The 13,729-nt window shown below is 45.1% G+C and overlaps 1 protein-coding gene across 1 annotated transcript in view, besides 2 other annotated features; it reads right to left on the reverse strand.

Moving 5' to 3' along the window:
- Positions 1-1,200: an enhancer, noted in NCBI's record as "P300/CBP strongly-dependent group 1 enhancer chr17:54863850-54865049 (GRCh37/hg19 assembly coordinates)". NCBI's record gives its function as "activates an origin of replication core promoter dependent on BRD2, BRD4, P300/CBP, MED14 and CDK7 cofactors, with strong dependence on P300/CBP, by STARR-seq in HCT116 cells {active_cell/tissue: HCT116}" and the evidence as "EXISTENCE:reporter gene assay evidence [ECO:0000049][PMID:35650434]".
- Positions 699-758: an enhancer, noted in NCBI's record as "active region_12417". NCBI's record gives its function as "activates an Ori minimal core promoter by ATAC-STARR-seq in GM12878 lymphoblastoid cells {active_cell/tissue: GM12878}" and the evidence as "EXISTENCE:reporter gene assay evidence [ECO:0000049][PMID:35858748]".
- Positions 5,425-13,729, reverse strand: part of C17orf67 (chromosome 17 open reading frame 67) — a 42,008-nt gene continuing 33,703 nt past the window's right edge. The window contains exons 7-8 of the mRNA NM_001085430.4: positions 8,556-8,692; positions 5,425-5,864 (exon numbers count right to left, since the gene is read on the reverse strand). Coding sequence (NP_001078899.2) covers positions 8,576-8,692 — 117 coding nt within the window. The 3' untranslated portion in view covers positions 5,425-5,864; positions 8,556-8,575. The remainder of the gene's footprint in view (positions 5,865-8,555; positions 8,693-13,729) is intronic.

The following is a 13,729-nucleotide window of genomic DNA, read 5'->3' on the forward strand; positions in this document are numbered from 1 at the left end:
AAGAACTCACCTCTCAACAAATAAATATTAGTGAGTGCTACCTATGCGCAGAGCAATGAGCTAGGCATGGAGATGCAGTACACTGAAATTGTCTGTGCCTCTCAGCTACTGCTCCAGCAAACAACAGCCACCTCCCTTATCCACGGGGAATGCCAGGACCCCCCAGTGGATGTCTGAAACCAAGCATAGTACTGAACCCAATTGCCGACCACATTTCTGTTCACATCTTCCACCCACATGTTTTAGAACTTTTCCATCTTAACGAAGCATTTTTCACTGTAGCCATTAACTTTTGCAGTTCAAGGTGCAACAGCAAAACTAGCACAAATTTATTTTTCCTTCTTCACAATTTCTCAGATAGAAGATTTGTTCTTACCACAGATCTTGGCAATCTCAGCACACGTTTTTTTTTTCTAAACTAAGTTGAAAACCTTCGCCTTTTCACTTAAAGGTAGCACATTATGGTTTCTCTTTGGCATATCTGAATTGCCAGCATCATTACTCTTGCAATGTGGGGGCATTATTAAGTAAAAGAAGGGTTCCTTGAACACAAGCACTGCCATAATGCCACCTGACAGTCAATCTGATAATTGAGCCAGCTACTAACTGACTAAGAGGGCAGGTAGTACACACAGAGGAGTGATTCATGCCCCAGGCAGGAAGCAGCAGGATGGCGTGAGATTTCATCACGTTACTCAGGACGGTGCGTAATTTACAACTGATGAATTGTTTATTTCTGGAATTTTCCATTAAATGTTTTCAGACTGTGGTTGACCTTGGGTAACTGAAACCTCAGAAAGAGAAACCACAGATGGGGGAACTACTGCAATGTTTTTTGGCCAGCTCACGTGTGCCAGCCTCTGAGATGGACACTTTCTATGGGCCCTGAGGAAGAAGCACAGCACAGAGCTAACACTGTGGCTTCTGGGTCAAGTCACTTCCTAATTTTGTGACTTAATGACTTTGGGTCCATCACGAAACGTCAAGAGCCCACATCTGTAAAATGGGGATAATAATTGTACCTACCTCACAGGATTATTGCGAAGATTAAATGAATACAGTGAAGGAATTAGCATGGTGGTTGGTACATTTCAAGTGCTCAATAGAATGTTAGCAGTTGTCCCATTTAATACTCCCAGCAACATAGAGACCAATATGACTATCCCATATAAAGATAGGGGAGCAGTAGACTTGGAGAAATTAAGTGATTCACCCAATCACAGCACTCAGCAGAAGGTTAAATTGCAATTAGAATCTGTCTTACTCGAAAACTAGGTTTCTTTCCAGTCCACCATTTACCCCATTCTTGTCCCCTACTTATCCCTCTCTATAGTAGCCATGCCCGTCTGTTTACTTACTGTCTTTGGCTGCTTTACAAATACAATAGCAAAGTAGTTGTATGACAGAGATGACATGGCCCACAAGATAAAAATACTTGCTATCAGGCCCTTTACAGAAAAAGTTTACCAACCCCTGATCTATAGAGCAGCTACCTGCTTATATATCTGTCTCCACCACTAGACAGTAAGTTCATTTGAACTGGGATCTTATTTCTCTTTGAACCTCTAGGAAGAATAAGCACACTTTTTTGCAAGGGTCTCAGTGTTGGTTAGATGAAATATGAAATGCAATTCCCTCTGGAAATCCTTCTGCCCATTTTTTCTGACCCCAAACCCAGACCATAGGAGCCAATGGTCTCTGTCTGTTTCAGGAAGCACATGTATTAGTCAATAAGACTGAATGCTTCTGCCAGTAGCTCGGAAGCCTATGAGCTGCCCCACTGGAGGTACTCTTGGTAAAGTTGTTTCTGCTCCACCATAGAACCTTCCCAGGAGGGATGTTTTTGGATACGAACAACGTATAAAAATCAATATTATTCCTACACATACCAGAATAACCAACTAGAAAATGTAAATTTAAGAAAATTCCAGTTATAATTCATAAAGATCCATAATATATCTAGGATTAGTGCTGTTTTAAAAACATATATATGATCTTTACAAAGAAAATTACAAAATTTTAATGATGGACATAAAAATGGCCTAAGTAAATGGAGAGATAGACCAGGTTCATAGATAGGAAGATGCAATACTGTAAAGAAAGCAACCCTTTCTCAAGTAGGGAGGCCTTTTGACTCTAGGTCTCCCAAACACTCTCCACCTCTTCTCAAAATAATAGTTTTTTAAAAAATATAGAGAGAGACAGAGACAGACCATTTGTCTTGATTAATAGAATAATGCCCAAGAATTTTAAAAACAGTAATAGCTAGTTTCATGGAGAGCTTACCCAATAAACTAATTATCACAATGGCATTTTGAACTAAGAACTGTAATCATTCCCATTCTACAGTAAGGAAACTCAGGCCCAAAGAGGTTAATCAGCTTGCCCAAGGACACACAGCTAGTCGGTGGAGCCAGAATTTGAATGCAGGTAGTCTGGCTCCAAGCCTGGATTATGAATTACTGCTGTCCACCACTTTGAAGATTCCTGTCACTCACCTGCCTTCTGAGAAACTTTGGTGGTGGGCAAATGGGGTGTGAAGTTGCAGCAAGCTCACTGTGAATTGCTGCGCTTCAGCCCCGTCATCTGTGGGCCTCAGGAGAGTGTGTTCTGGGTAAACACATGCATTTTGTGTGTCAAGGGGAGGAGGCTGAGAACCAGGCTGTATGTGACTGATGAAGAATCCTCTCTGTTCTTAAAGGAAGTTTTTGCCCCTGATATGTGAGCCATACCCAGGGTCCTTAGAGCCTCAAGGAAGCCCTTCCTTCTCTACCTGGATGCAGGAACCTGGCTCCCTGTGGGTCTGATTTATTTTTAATTCTGCTTCCCTCCTTCTCTCTTTTGGGACGTGCTAGTCTCGTTCCTGTGCAGTCTGTCCCACATGCACAGATTCAGCTCCTACTTCTTGTAAACCACTCTGAGAGGCAGGTGGGGAGGTGGACAAGGGAGCCTTCTGTCCACCCTTGTTCCATGTACCCTGGGCAACTCCTAGCACTAAATATCAGAGCCCATGGAAGGTGCCTGTGCTCAGATGACATCCCAGCTAGGTAAGGAGTACAGTTGAGTCTTAATAAGACACATCCTCATCCCTTAAGGAACTCGGTTTAGAAAACTACTTCATTCAAGGCATAAGAATATCAGGTTTAGGGCAGAAGTGCAGAGTGTTTGTGGATGGGGGGAGGGCGGGCATAGTAGTGAGGGGCTTCCCAGGTTCAAATCCCAGGTCCTCTACCCACCAGCTGTATGAACCTGAACAAACTGCCTAGGGTAGGCAGAATGATGGCTTCCCCAAAGATGTCCAGGTCCTAATCCCTGGAACTTGCGAAAATGTTACCTTATATGGCAAGGGGGAATTAGCATTGTGGGTGGAATTAAAGTTGTTAATCAACTGACCTTAAGATAGAGAAATTATTCTGAGTTATCTAAAGGGCCCAGTGTAATCATAAAGGCCCTTAAAAGTGGAAGATGGAGGCAGAAGAGAAAGGCAGAGTGATATGATGTGAGGCTCAACTCACCATTGGTGGCTTTGAGATGGAAGGAGTCATGAGCTAAGAAAGGCGGGTAGCTGGAAAAGACAAGGAAATAGATTCACCCCAAGAGCCTCCAGAGAGGAGAAGAATGCAGCCCTGCTGACACATTGATTTAACCCAGGAGACTCCTTTTGAACTTCTAACATACAGAACATAAGATAATTAATGTGTTGTTTTAACCCACTAAGTAATTACAGTCAAAATAGAAAACTAATACACTGCCTAAATTCTGTAAACTTCAGTTTCCTCATTTATAAGTTGGGGATAGTACAGATGCTCCTAGACTTACAAAGCAGTTACATCCTAATAAACCCACTGGAAATTGAAGGTGCATTTAATACACCTAACCTACCAAACATCACAGCTTAGCCTGTAAATGTGCTCAGAACCCTTACATTAGCCTACAGTTGGGCAAGATCATCTAACACAAAGCCTATTTTATAATAAGTGTTGAAGAGCTCATGTAATTTATTGAATGCTGTACTAAAAGTGAGAACCAGAACGGTTGTATGGGTTCTTGAAGTATGGTTTTGGCTGAGGGCATATCACTTTCACACCACTAGAACTCAGGGACCATCTGTACGGAGTTTGACCCAAAATGTTGGTATTGTTATTGAGAGATTCAGTGCCTTTATCCCTAGATGAACACACCTAATATAGTTTGGATCTATGTCCCTACCCAAATTGCATGTTGAAATTTAATCCCCAATGTTGGAAGTGGGGCCTGGTGGGAGCTAATTAGATCATGGGGGCAGTTTCTCATTAATGGTGTAGTACCATCCCCTTGGTACTGTTCTCACAATAGTGAGTGGGTTCTCACAAGATCTGGTTGTTTAAAAGTGTGTGGCATCTTCCTGCTTCTTCTCTTGCTCTTGCTCTGGCCATGTGACTGCTCCCACTTCACCTTTCACCATAATTGTAAGTTTCCTGAGGCCTCCCCAGAAGCCAAGCAGGTGCCATCATCATGCTTCCTGTACAGCCTGCAGAACTGTGAGCCAATTAAACCTCTTTTCTGTATAAATTACCCAGTCTTAGATATTTCTTTATAGGAATGCAATAATGAACTAATACACCACCCAACCTCCCTTGGGACAAGCCCTCCTCTGTAGCCCAGGGTGTGTGGGCATCCCTCCTTACCTTTTTTTGAGGATGCCAGATTCTTCTTTCCCCAGAACCATTTGGCCCACCTTCCCTTGCCCTCCAAATTTCTGCTTTTCTTGGCCTCTAATTGTCCAATCTGATTCCAAGGTTGTGGGGCAGGTGAGGGCCTCCGGGATACAGGAACTACAACCCACTTTTCACAAGAAATGTTGCCTTTGCTAAAAGACCAGGGTGTAAAACTGGTATTAAGCAATGGCCCTAGTTCCAGAACTGGCCTTAGGCAAATAATCTCATATATATACATGTACGTATATAAATATATACATAACCCTTGTGCAAAATTGCAGGGTGTTTGTATTTTCATTCATTCAAAGAACAGTAAGCTTTCTGATGCTGGATTTGCAAAGATAAACAAAAGAGGGAAATCTCTGTTTCACTACTTACAGAGAAAGAAAGAGGCCAGGCGCAGTGGCTCACACCTGTAATCCCAGCACTTTGGGAGGCCAAGGCGGGTGGATCACCTGAGGTCAGGAGGTTGAGACCAGCCTGGTCAACATGGTGAAACCCCGTCTCTACTAAAAATACAAAAGTTAGCTGAGCATGGTGGTGTGCACCTGTAGTCCCAGCTACTCTGGAGGCTGAGGCAGGAAAATCACTTGAACCTGGGAGGCGGAGGTTGCAGTGAGCCAAGATCATGCCACTGTACTCCAGACTGAGTGACAGAGTGAGACTCCATCTCAAAAAAAAAAAAGTGGGGGGGAGAGAGAGAGAGAAAGGAAGAGACCACTAAAAGTAAATTTAATACCAATGTTTATTAGGGCAGAAAAGAAGAGGAAAAAAATAGAGGACAAAACAACTCAGCAACCCCAAGTGGTATGCTTCACTACTCTGAACAAGGATTCCCCAAATTCCTTAGGGCAGGCAGCCTGCCCCAACTCCTGGTCTGGGAGTTCCAGCTCCATCAACCCCAGGTAAGATTCTGGTTGTTCCCACTCTTGCAAACTGATGGGAAGACCTTTGGGAGGTGTCTATGCTTTAAGCTATTGGTTTTAGTGATCTATGCAGGTTAGTAAAATGAAGCAGTATATATATTTGCCATTTCCAAGGCAATCTTTGATATGCCCACAGTTCACGAGGTCTGAAGACATCCATTTCTGCAATTTAAAAACAAGTGAAAGAAGCAGCCTTGTCTTGCTTCGACATTATCCAGCTTGTTGTCTATTAAAATGCTTGCTGAAAAAGAACAAGAAAATAACATTAGGATAATGATAATGATTGTGATGGTAGTGGTGGTGGTGGTGATGATGGTGTGGCAGTGATGGTGATGATGGTGATTGTGGTGGTGGTAATAGTGATGATGGTTATGATGGTGGTGGTGGTGATGATAATGATGATAGTGGTGGTGGTGGTGGTGGTGGTGGTGATGATGGTGTGGCAGTGATGGTGATGATGGTGATTGTGGTGATGGTAATAGTGATGATGGTTATGGTGGTGGTGGTGATAATGGTGATGTGGTGGTGGTGGTGATGGTGCTGATGGTGGTGATGGTGATGATGGGGTTGATGGTGATGATGGTGGCAATGGTGACGATGATGATGGTGGTGATGGTGAGGTGGTGGTGGTGGTGGTGGTGGTGGTGGTGGTGGTGGTGGTGGTGGTGGTGGTGGTGGTGGTGGTGGTGGTGGTGGTGGTGGTGGTGGTGGTGGTGGTGGTGGTGGTGGTGGTGGTGGTGGTGGTGGTGGTGATGGTGGTGGTGGTGGTGGTGGTGGTGATGGTGGTGGGGGTGATGGTGGTGGTGATGATGGTGTGGGTAATGGTGATGATGGTGGCGATGGTGGTGATGGTGATGGTGATAGTGATGGTGATGATGTTGGTGGTGGTGATTGTGATGATGATGATGAAGAACAAGAAGGAGGAGGAGGAGAGGGGAAAAGGAGGAGACTAAGGAAGAGGACGAGTAGACCAAGGAAGAACAAACACCATCCAGCTATCATTTTCTGAGCACTTCCTTTGTGTGCCAGGGCAACACTAACTATTTTCCAGGCATTGACTTTTTTAATCCTAGAATCATAAGGAAGGAGCCATTACTATCCTCATTTTACAAATGAGGAAATTATTCAATTAGGCATTTTTTTCTAAGGTTATTCAGCCAGTGACTGGAGGACTCATTATCTGAAGGCTGTCTGACTCCCAATTCCAAGTTAACACATTTCTCCAGCCACCGCTTCCTTGTCTTTATGTAAGTGGGAGCTGCCTGGAGTGAGGCCTCTGAGGAACCCTGTGTTTGCAGGAGCTAGGCACCCAAGCTCACCAGCAGTGCCTGTCCTACCAAGAATCAGAGGCCTCAGTCACCCTTGGAGGGTACTACTGTGGGGCTGAACCCAGAAACCTCTCCTTTAACTTCAACTGCACAACAGTAATAAGTGCTTTTATATTTAGAGTCACTTACTATGCACCAGGCTCCCTAGACATCATTATTACCCCAACTTACAGAGGCAGAAGCAAAGAGTCAGTGAGGTTAGGCAACTTGCCCAAGGGCACAGAGCTGGAAATCAGAAAGTCAAACTCAGCTCTGGCCAGTTCCAGAGCCTAAGCATCCAATTACTCCACAGTGCTGTTTTCTGGAAGAAGCCAAGTGAGGGCTTCCAGTGCTAAAAGACAAAGGCCCTTGGTGCAGGGGAGGCCAGCACCCTGGGAGTTGGGAGCCAAGCCCAGACACACCAGAACCCTGACCTAGAATAGAGCTCCAGCAGCTGGAAGAATTAGAAGAGGGATGTAGCCCATCCCTACCCCTCAAAAGCAGAACTTCTATTCCACTGCCAGCAGGTGATCCTCTCATTATCTGTGAAAGCTCCCTCAGAGTGATTTCATGCCCACACACACACAGGACTGTGCAACACGGTCCACATAAAGCATGCAGATTTACGGTGGTCAGAAGCCTAGCATACCAACCACTGCTTAGCCTGAGTTAGTAGCTTAATCATGCTCAATTAGTTCCTCTTTAAAATGGGGTTAAAGTGCATGCCCTGCAATGACACCAGGGTATTAAGAGGATCATGTGAGGCAATTTATGTTACATTATAAAGAGTGATTAATAGGAGCGTCCCTGTGTCAATTCACAGTAGCACAAAATAAACAACAAAGGTATAAGATTTCTCTTAACCACAAAGATAAACTACCTGATTATATCTTGTCCTGCTTGGTCCACAAAACTTACAGAGGAGAAATGAAATTCACTGGGCTTACCCTCTGAAGGAATTTTGCTACCTTATCTAACAGGATTTGGAAAGGGGGGAAGATGATGAGGACAGACAGGGAGAAGCAAACAGCCTCATCTAGGCACAGAGGTACAGAGTTGGGGGCATGCAGGGTGTGGGGGGAAAGCTGGGCAGTACCCTGCTGGTGGGCTGAAAACAGAAGCCCCAGGGAAAGGGAAAGACAGAGGGTGGGCTGGGCAGATTGGCAGCCTTGAAGGCTGCAGGAAGGCAGTAGGGAACAGGAGCGAGATCTGGGAAAGAAGTTGTTGATCCTGATGACAGTGGTGATGATCATGGTAGATGTCACAGGTTGACTCCACGAATGCTGAGCCCACCTGAAGAGACCCAAGTCTCAACAAAACACACTTCTCCACATTTGGGGTCCAGAGAGAGCTTTTCTGCATGGCAAATAGGGTCACGTCCCTCCCCATTCGGGATCACTTTGTGATTCAATAAAAGTTGGGCTCCCCCATTTGTCCCCCAGTGCTCCTCTCAACCTGGCTCCCCACTATGTCTCCTGCCTCACTCTTGCCACCCCCATTCCAAACCCATAACCAGCTAACCAGCTGGCCCCCCTGAGGCATGGTCTGGAAAGTCTCCCAGCCCATGCCATGCTGTCCCCCACCACTCCCTCAGACAGAGGTCCGGGAGAGAGAAGGAGACGTACCGAGGCTGGTCCTGATCCCCTTACACAGGATGAATCCTGTTCCTGTCACAGTGGGGTTTGCAGTGAGGGTTCAGCCAGTGCTCCAGGAACTGCTCCTCAGCGCGATGCTCCAGGGCGAGCAGGTGGTGCATGTATTCCTGTCAAAACAAACCACACTGAAGAAGGCTTCACCCACAGTGACAGCCAAGGGATCAATATGCGTGGTGTGGCTCTGGCTCCCTAGACAGGGCAGGATGGGAGGACAGGCAGGGAGAAGAAATCAACGGCCACACCCATGCCTCTCTGTAGGGAAGACCAGTCAGACTGACCCACCCAGTGGGCAAAATAAAGAAGTCTGACAATACTAAGTGCTGAGCGGGTGGATTTCCATGAAAACATGGGACAACAACTTCAGAAAACATCTGATTGCCTGCAATCTAGAAATTTCACTCCTACTTTATACCCTAGCGCAGTGGACGTCAAACTTTATCAGATATCAGAGTCACCTGATATCTGATATTACAACACAGATTGCTGGGCCTATCTTACAGTTTCTGACTCAGTGGGTCTTGGGTGGGACTTGAGAAGTTGCATTTCTAACAAGTTCCTAGCTAATAGTTATATTGCTAGTTGCTCTGAGAACAAAAGAAACTCTTATATCAGGAAAGGCATATAAAAATGTTTATAGCAGCAATAAATTTGTCATAGCAAAACACTGGAAACATGCCAAATAGCCACTTACAGGAGAATGAATCAATAAATTATGTTAGGGTTATGCCATGGACTATTATACAGCAGAGAACATAAATTATACTGTAGCTATATACAACAACATAGATGGGTCTTAGAAATAGCATACTGAGTGAAAAGTCCAAGTAACTACATTTATAGTGTGACACTATTTTTATAAAGTTCAAATATGTGTAACTAAATCATGTAATATATTACTTATGGCTATATGCATTTCTGATAAAATCATCTTTTTTAAAAGACAAGGGATAAGCAGAAGAAAGCTAGGGTTGCTATGCTAATATCAAACAAAAAGACTTTAAAATATAAAAATGTTACTAGAAATAGAGAAGCATTTTGTAAAAATAGTCTGGCAGTTCCTTACAATATTAAACCTAGAATTACCATTCGTACTCCTGGCTAGCAACTGTACTTGTAGGTATATACCCAAGAGAAACAAAAATGGATGTCCACACAAAAACTTGTATACAGATGTTCACACCAACATCATTTGTCACAGCCAAAAACCAGAAGCAACCCAAATGTCCACCAATAAATGAGTGGATAAATAAAATATGCTACTTCCATATAATGGAATATTATTTGGCAATTAAAATGAATGAAGCAGTGATCCCTGCTACAACATGGATGAACCTTGAGAACATTATGCTAAGTGACAGAAGCCACTTAGGACACTTATGTCACAAAGGACCACACGGTGTATGATTCTGTTCATATGAAAGGTGGCCAGCCCCATACATTAATCTGTCCACAACAGAAAGCAGCTCCTTGCCCTGACCAGTCCTGCCCCTTACTGTGGCCAGCATCTCCATCTACTCAGGAACCCGCTCCAGAACACCAACTGTCATTGCCTCACTCACCCTCAAACTCAACATAAGACTGAGCATCGGGACGTTGAGGCTATCTCCGGAATAGTTCTCAGATGCCCTCCCTCGTCTCTGCCACTTCCCTAGGTCAGGTCTTCACCATTGTCCACCAAGGCTGCCGCAGACTCCTCACCCCTCTCTCTGTCCCACCCCTGCGTGTTGCATTCCTCCCACCCCATGCCTCCTCCCTCCCCCATCCCTGCTCCACTCTGACAGAGTGACCCAAAAGGGGTCAAAGGTGGCCCACCAGGGCCACCTTCCTCCTCGAAGCCTTCACCAGTGCTGTCTACCTGCAAGGAGTCAGCATCTGCCTCTACCCACGGGTTTTGTCTGTGGCTCTGGATAATGTACTTGCAAGCCAGCAGATGAGTGCAGCTTTGGGTAGGATTCCCCTCCTTCCCCCACTCCTCCCAACAGCAGGGAGTGGCCCTGCCCTCCCACCTTGGTCTACAATGGTCATTGACAGCCTTTGTTAATCTCTATGCTTCTCAAAAACGCAATTTCTCCCTGAAATGGTTGCCTGAAGAGACTTTAATGAAGGGAACATTCATAGCCATGTGAGTAGGGTTAAGGGAACTATCAAAGAATATTCTAGCACCCAGGGACTAGCAATAGAGGGAAGTCATGACCATGTCTAAGTTTGCAGGGCCAAGGGTGGAGAACCCTTAGAGGAGCCATTAGGCCTGGGGCCAGGTGGGTGGGGCTGCTGTGGTCTTGGGGGCACAGCACAACCTTTGCAAGGCAAGGAGGGAACAGGGAACAAACAGCCCATCCTCTCCCTCCTCTTCCCCTCAATATCCTGCAGGGCCCAATCAGAAGCCAGCTGGCCAGGGAACCAAGGGATTCAGTCTGCAGGAGTCAGTCTCCTTGAGCACAGAGTGGGGCACAGCAGGGTGGAGAACGGACTGGGGTCAGGGCAGAGAAAAACCGCGTCCATACCAGGATGATGAGGAGTGGCAGGTGTGCTACCACCAGAGAAGGGAGCAGACAGCACAAATAACAGAGGGCCATGATAGGGCCTCTCTGCAACCTGCAGCTCATCAGCCTCTGAACACACCCATCCTTTGCATGAAATTTTTGTCTTTGCATCTCCTCTCTCAGTTGGCTCGTGCTCTGCCCTTTATCAACAGGAATGTCACTTCCAGCCTTTAGGGCTGGCCTTCTCCTCCAAATGCGCCTTGGTCTTCCCCGAAGCCAGTTCAGGCTGTGAATTTTCTGTATATGGGTTACTCATGGCATTATGTCCTATAAGTGATGCATAAAACAGAAAAATGATAAAACAACAGGACCTCTCTTAAATAAAAGAATAAAATGTGATTTCTCTTGTCTTAGTCAGTTATAAGCTCTCCTCCTTCCCTCTCCATCTTCTAGTGCAATCTCTGGCCTACAGGTACTGCCTATCATACTGAAGGTGGTTCATCATATCTCTCTTCATGGCACCACATTGCTAGTTAAGCAAGAAGCTTCAGCGCACTCCTCTTCCTTGCCCTCCCACCATCTAAGCAGCCTAACTCCTGTGAATGCTCCTGAATCCCTTCTACCCAGCCCGACTGCCTCTGCCCAGCTTAGGCCCCAGCCCTGGGGCTAGACCCCTGCCACAACCTCTGCAGGCTCTTACTACCCCTTGTCCTACCTTCTTCTTCTTGTGGGGTTTTTTTTATTGTTTTATTTTGTTTTCTTAATAGGCATTATTGTTTACAGCAGTTTTAGGTTCACAGCAAAATTGAGCAGAAATATAGCATTCCCATATATCCCCTGTCTTCACACAGGCACAGCCTCCCCCACTACCAACATCCCCCACCAGCATGGGATATTTTTTACAGTTGATGCACCTGCATTGACACAGCACCATCACCAGTCCATAGTTGATATTAGGGCTCACTCTTGGTATTACACAAATGCATGGCAGTCGGGCATCATGGCTCACATCTGTAATCCCAGCAATTTGGGAGGCTGAGGTGGGCAGATCACTCAAGCTCTGGAGTTCGAGACCAGCCTGGGCGACGTGGTGAAACTCTGTCTCTACCAAAAATACAAAAAAAAAAATAGCTAGATGTGGTGGTGCATGCCTGTAGTCCCAGCTACTCAGGAAGCTGAGGTGAGAGGATCTCTTGAGCCCAGGAGGTAGAGGTTGCAGTGAGCTGAGATCGCACCATGGCACTCCAGCCCTCGGAGACAGTACGAGCCTTTGTCTCAAAAAAGATAAATAAACACAAATAAAAATAAAAGCATGGCACCAACATCTCCTTCTGATGAGGGCCTCAGGAAGTTTCCACTCATGGCAGAAGGTGAAGGGGAGCTGATATACACAGATCACATGGTGAGACAGGAGGCAAGAAAGAGAGAAGGTGCCAGGCTCTTTGCAGAAATCCGTTCTCATGGGAACTAAGAGTGAAAACTCCCTCATTACCGCTATTCATGAGGGATCCACCTCCATGACCCAAACACCTCCCATAAGGCCACACCTCCAACACTGGGGATCAAATTTCAACATGAGACTTGATGGGGCCGAACAAACCACACACAAACCCTAGCACTACCATTGCAATATCACACGGAACAGTTTCACTGCCCTAAAAATCTGCTTTGCTCTGCCTGCTCATCTGCCTAACCCCTGGCAACCACTGATCTTTATACTGTCTCTATAGTTTTGCCTTTCCCAGAATGTCATACAGTTAGAATCACAGAACATGTAATTGAATTTTCAGATTGGTTTCTTTTCTTTAGTAATATGCATTTAAGTTTAACTCCATGTCTTTCCGTGGCTTGATAGCTCATTTTGTTTTAGGGTTGAATAATATTCCATTGTCTGCATGTATCATAGTTTATTTATTCATTCACCTGGACATCTTGGTTGCTTCCAAATTGGAGTAATTATGAATAAAATTGCTATAAACATCTGGGGGCAGGTTTTGTGTGGATGTAAGTTTTCAACTCCTTTGGGTAAACACCAGGGAGTGTGATTATTGAATCGTATGTTAAGAGTACGTCTGGTTTTGTAAGAAACTGCCAAACTGTCTTCCAAAGTAGCTGCACCATTTTGCATTTCCACCAGCAATGAGTGAGAGTTCTGTTGCTTCACATCCTCACCAGCATTTGGTGTTGTCCATGTTCCAGATTTTGGCCATTCTAATAGGTGTATAGTGGCATCTCGTTGTTTTAAGTTGCATTTCCCTAATGATGTACGATGTTTCACATGCTTACTTGCCATCTGTATATCTTCTTCAGTAGATGTCTATTCAAGTCTTTTGTCAGAATGGGTTTTTAAAATATAAAGAACAAAAATAGCTTTACTGGTTTTTATTTTTATCACAACAGTGATACATATTACTTTCTTAAAGTCATGAAAAAAAAAAAGAAAGTTATAAAGAAGAGGTTGAAAAATCCCTCTTGATTTTTCTGTATCCTGTTGCAAACTAATTTTTTTTTTTTTTTTTTTTTTTTTGAGACGGAGTCTCGCTCTGTCGCCCAGGCTGGAGTGCAGTGGCGCCATCGCGGCTCACTGCAAGCTCCGCTTCCCGGGTTCACGCCATTCTCCTGCCTTAGCCTCCCGAGTAGCTGGAACTACAGGCACCCACC

This window comes from Homo sapiens, chromosome 17 (genome assembly GCF_000001405.40).
Source record: "Homo sapiens chromosome 17, GRCh38.p14 Primary Assembly".
Classification (NCBI taxonomy): Eukaryota; Metazoa; Chordata; class Mammalia; order Primates; family Hominidae; genus Homo; species Homo sapiens.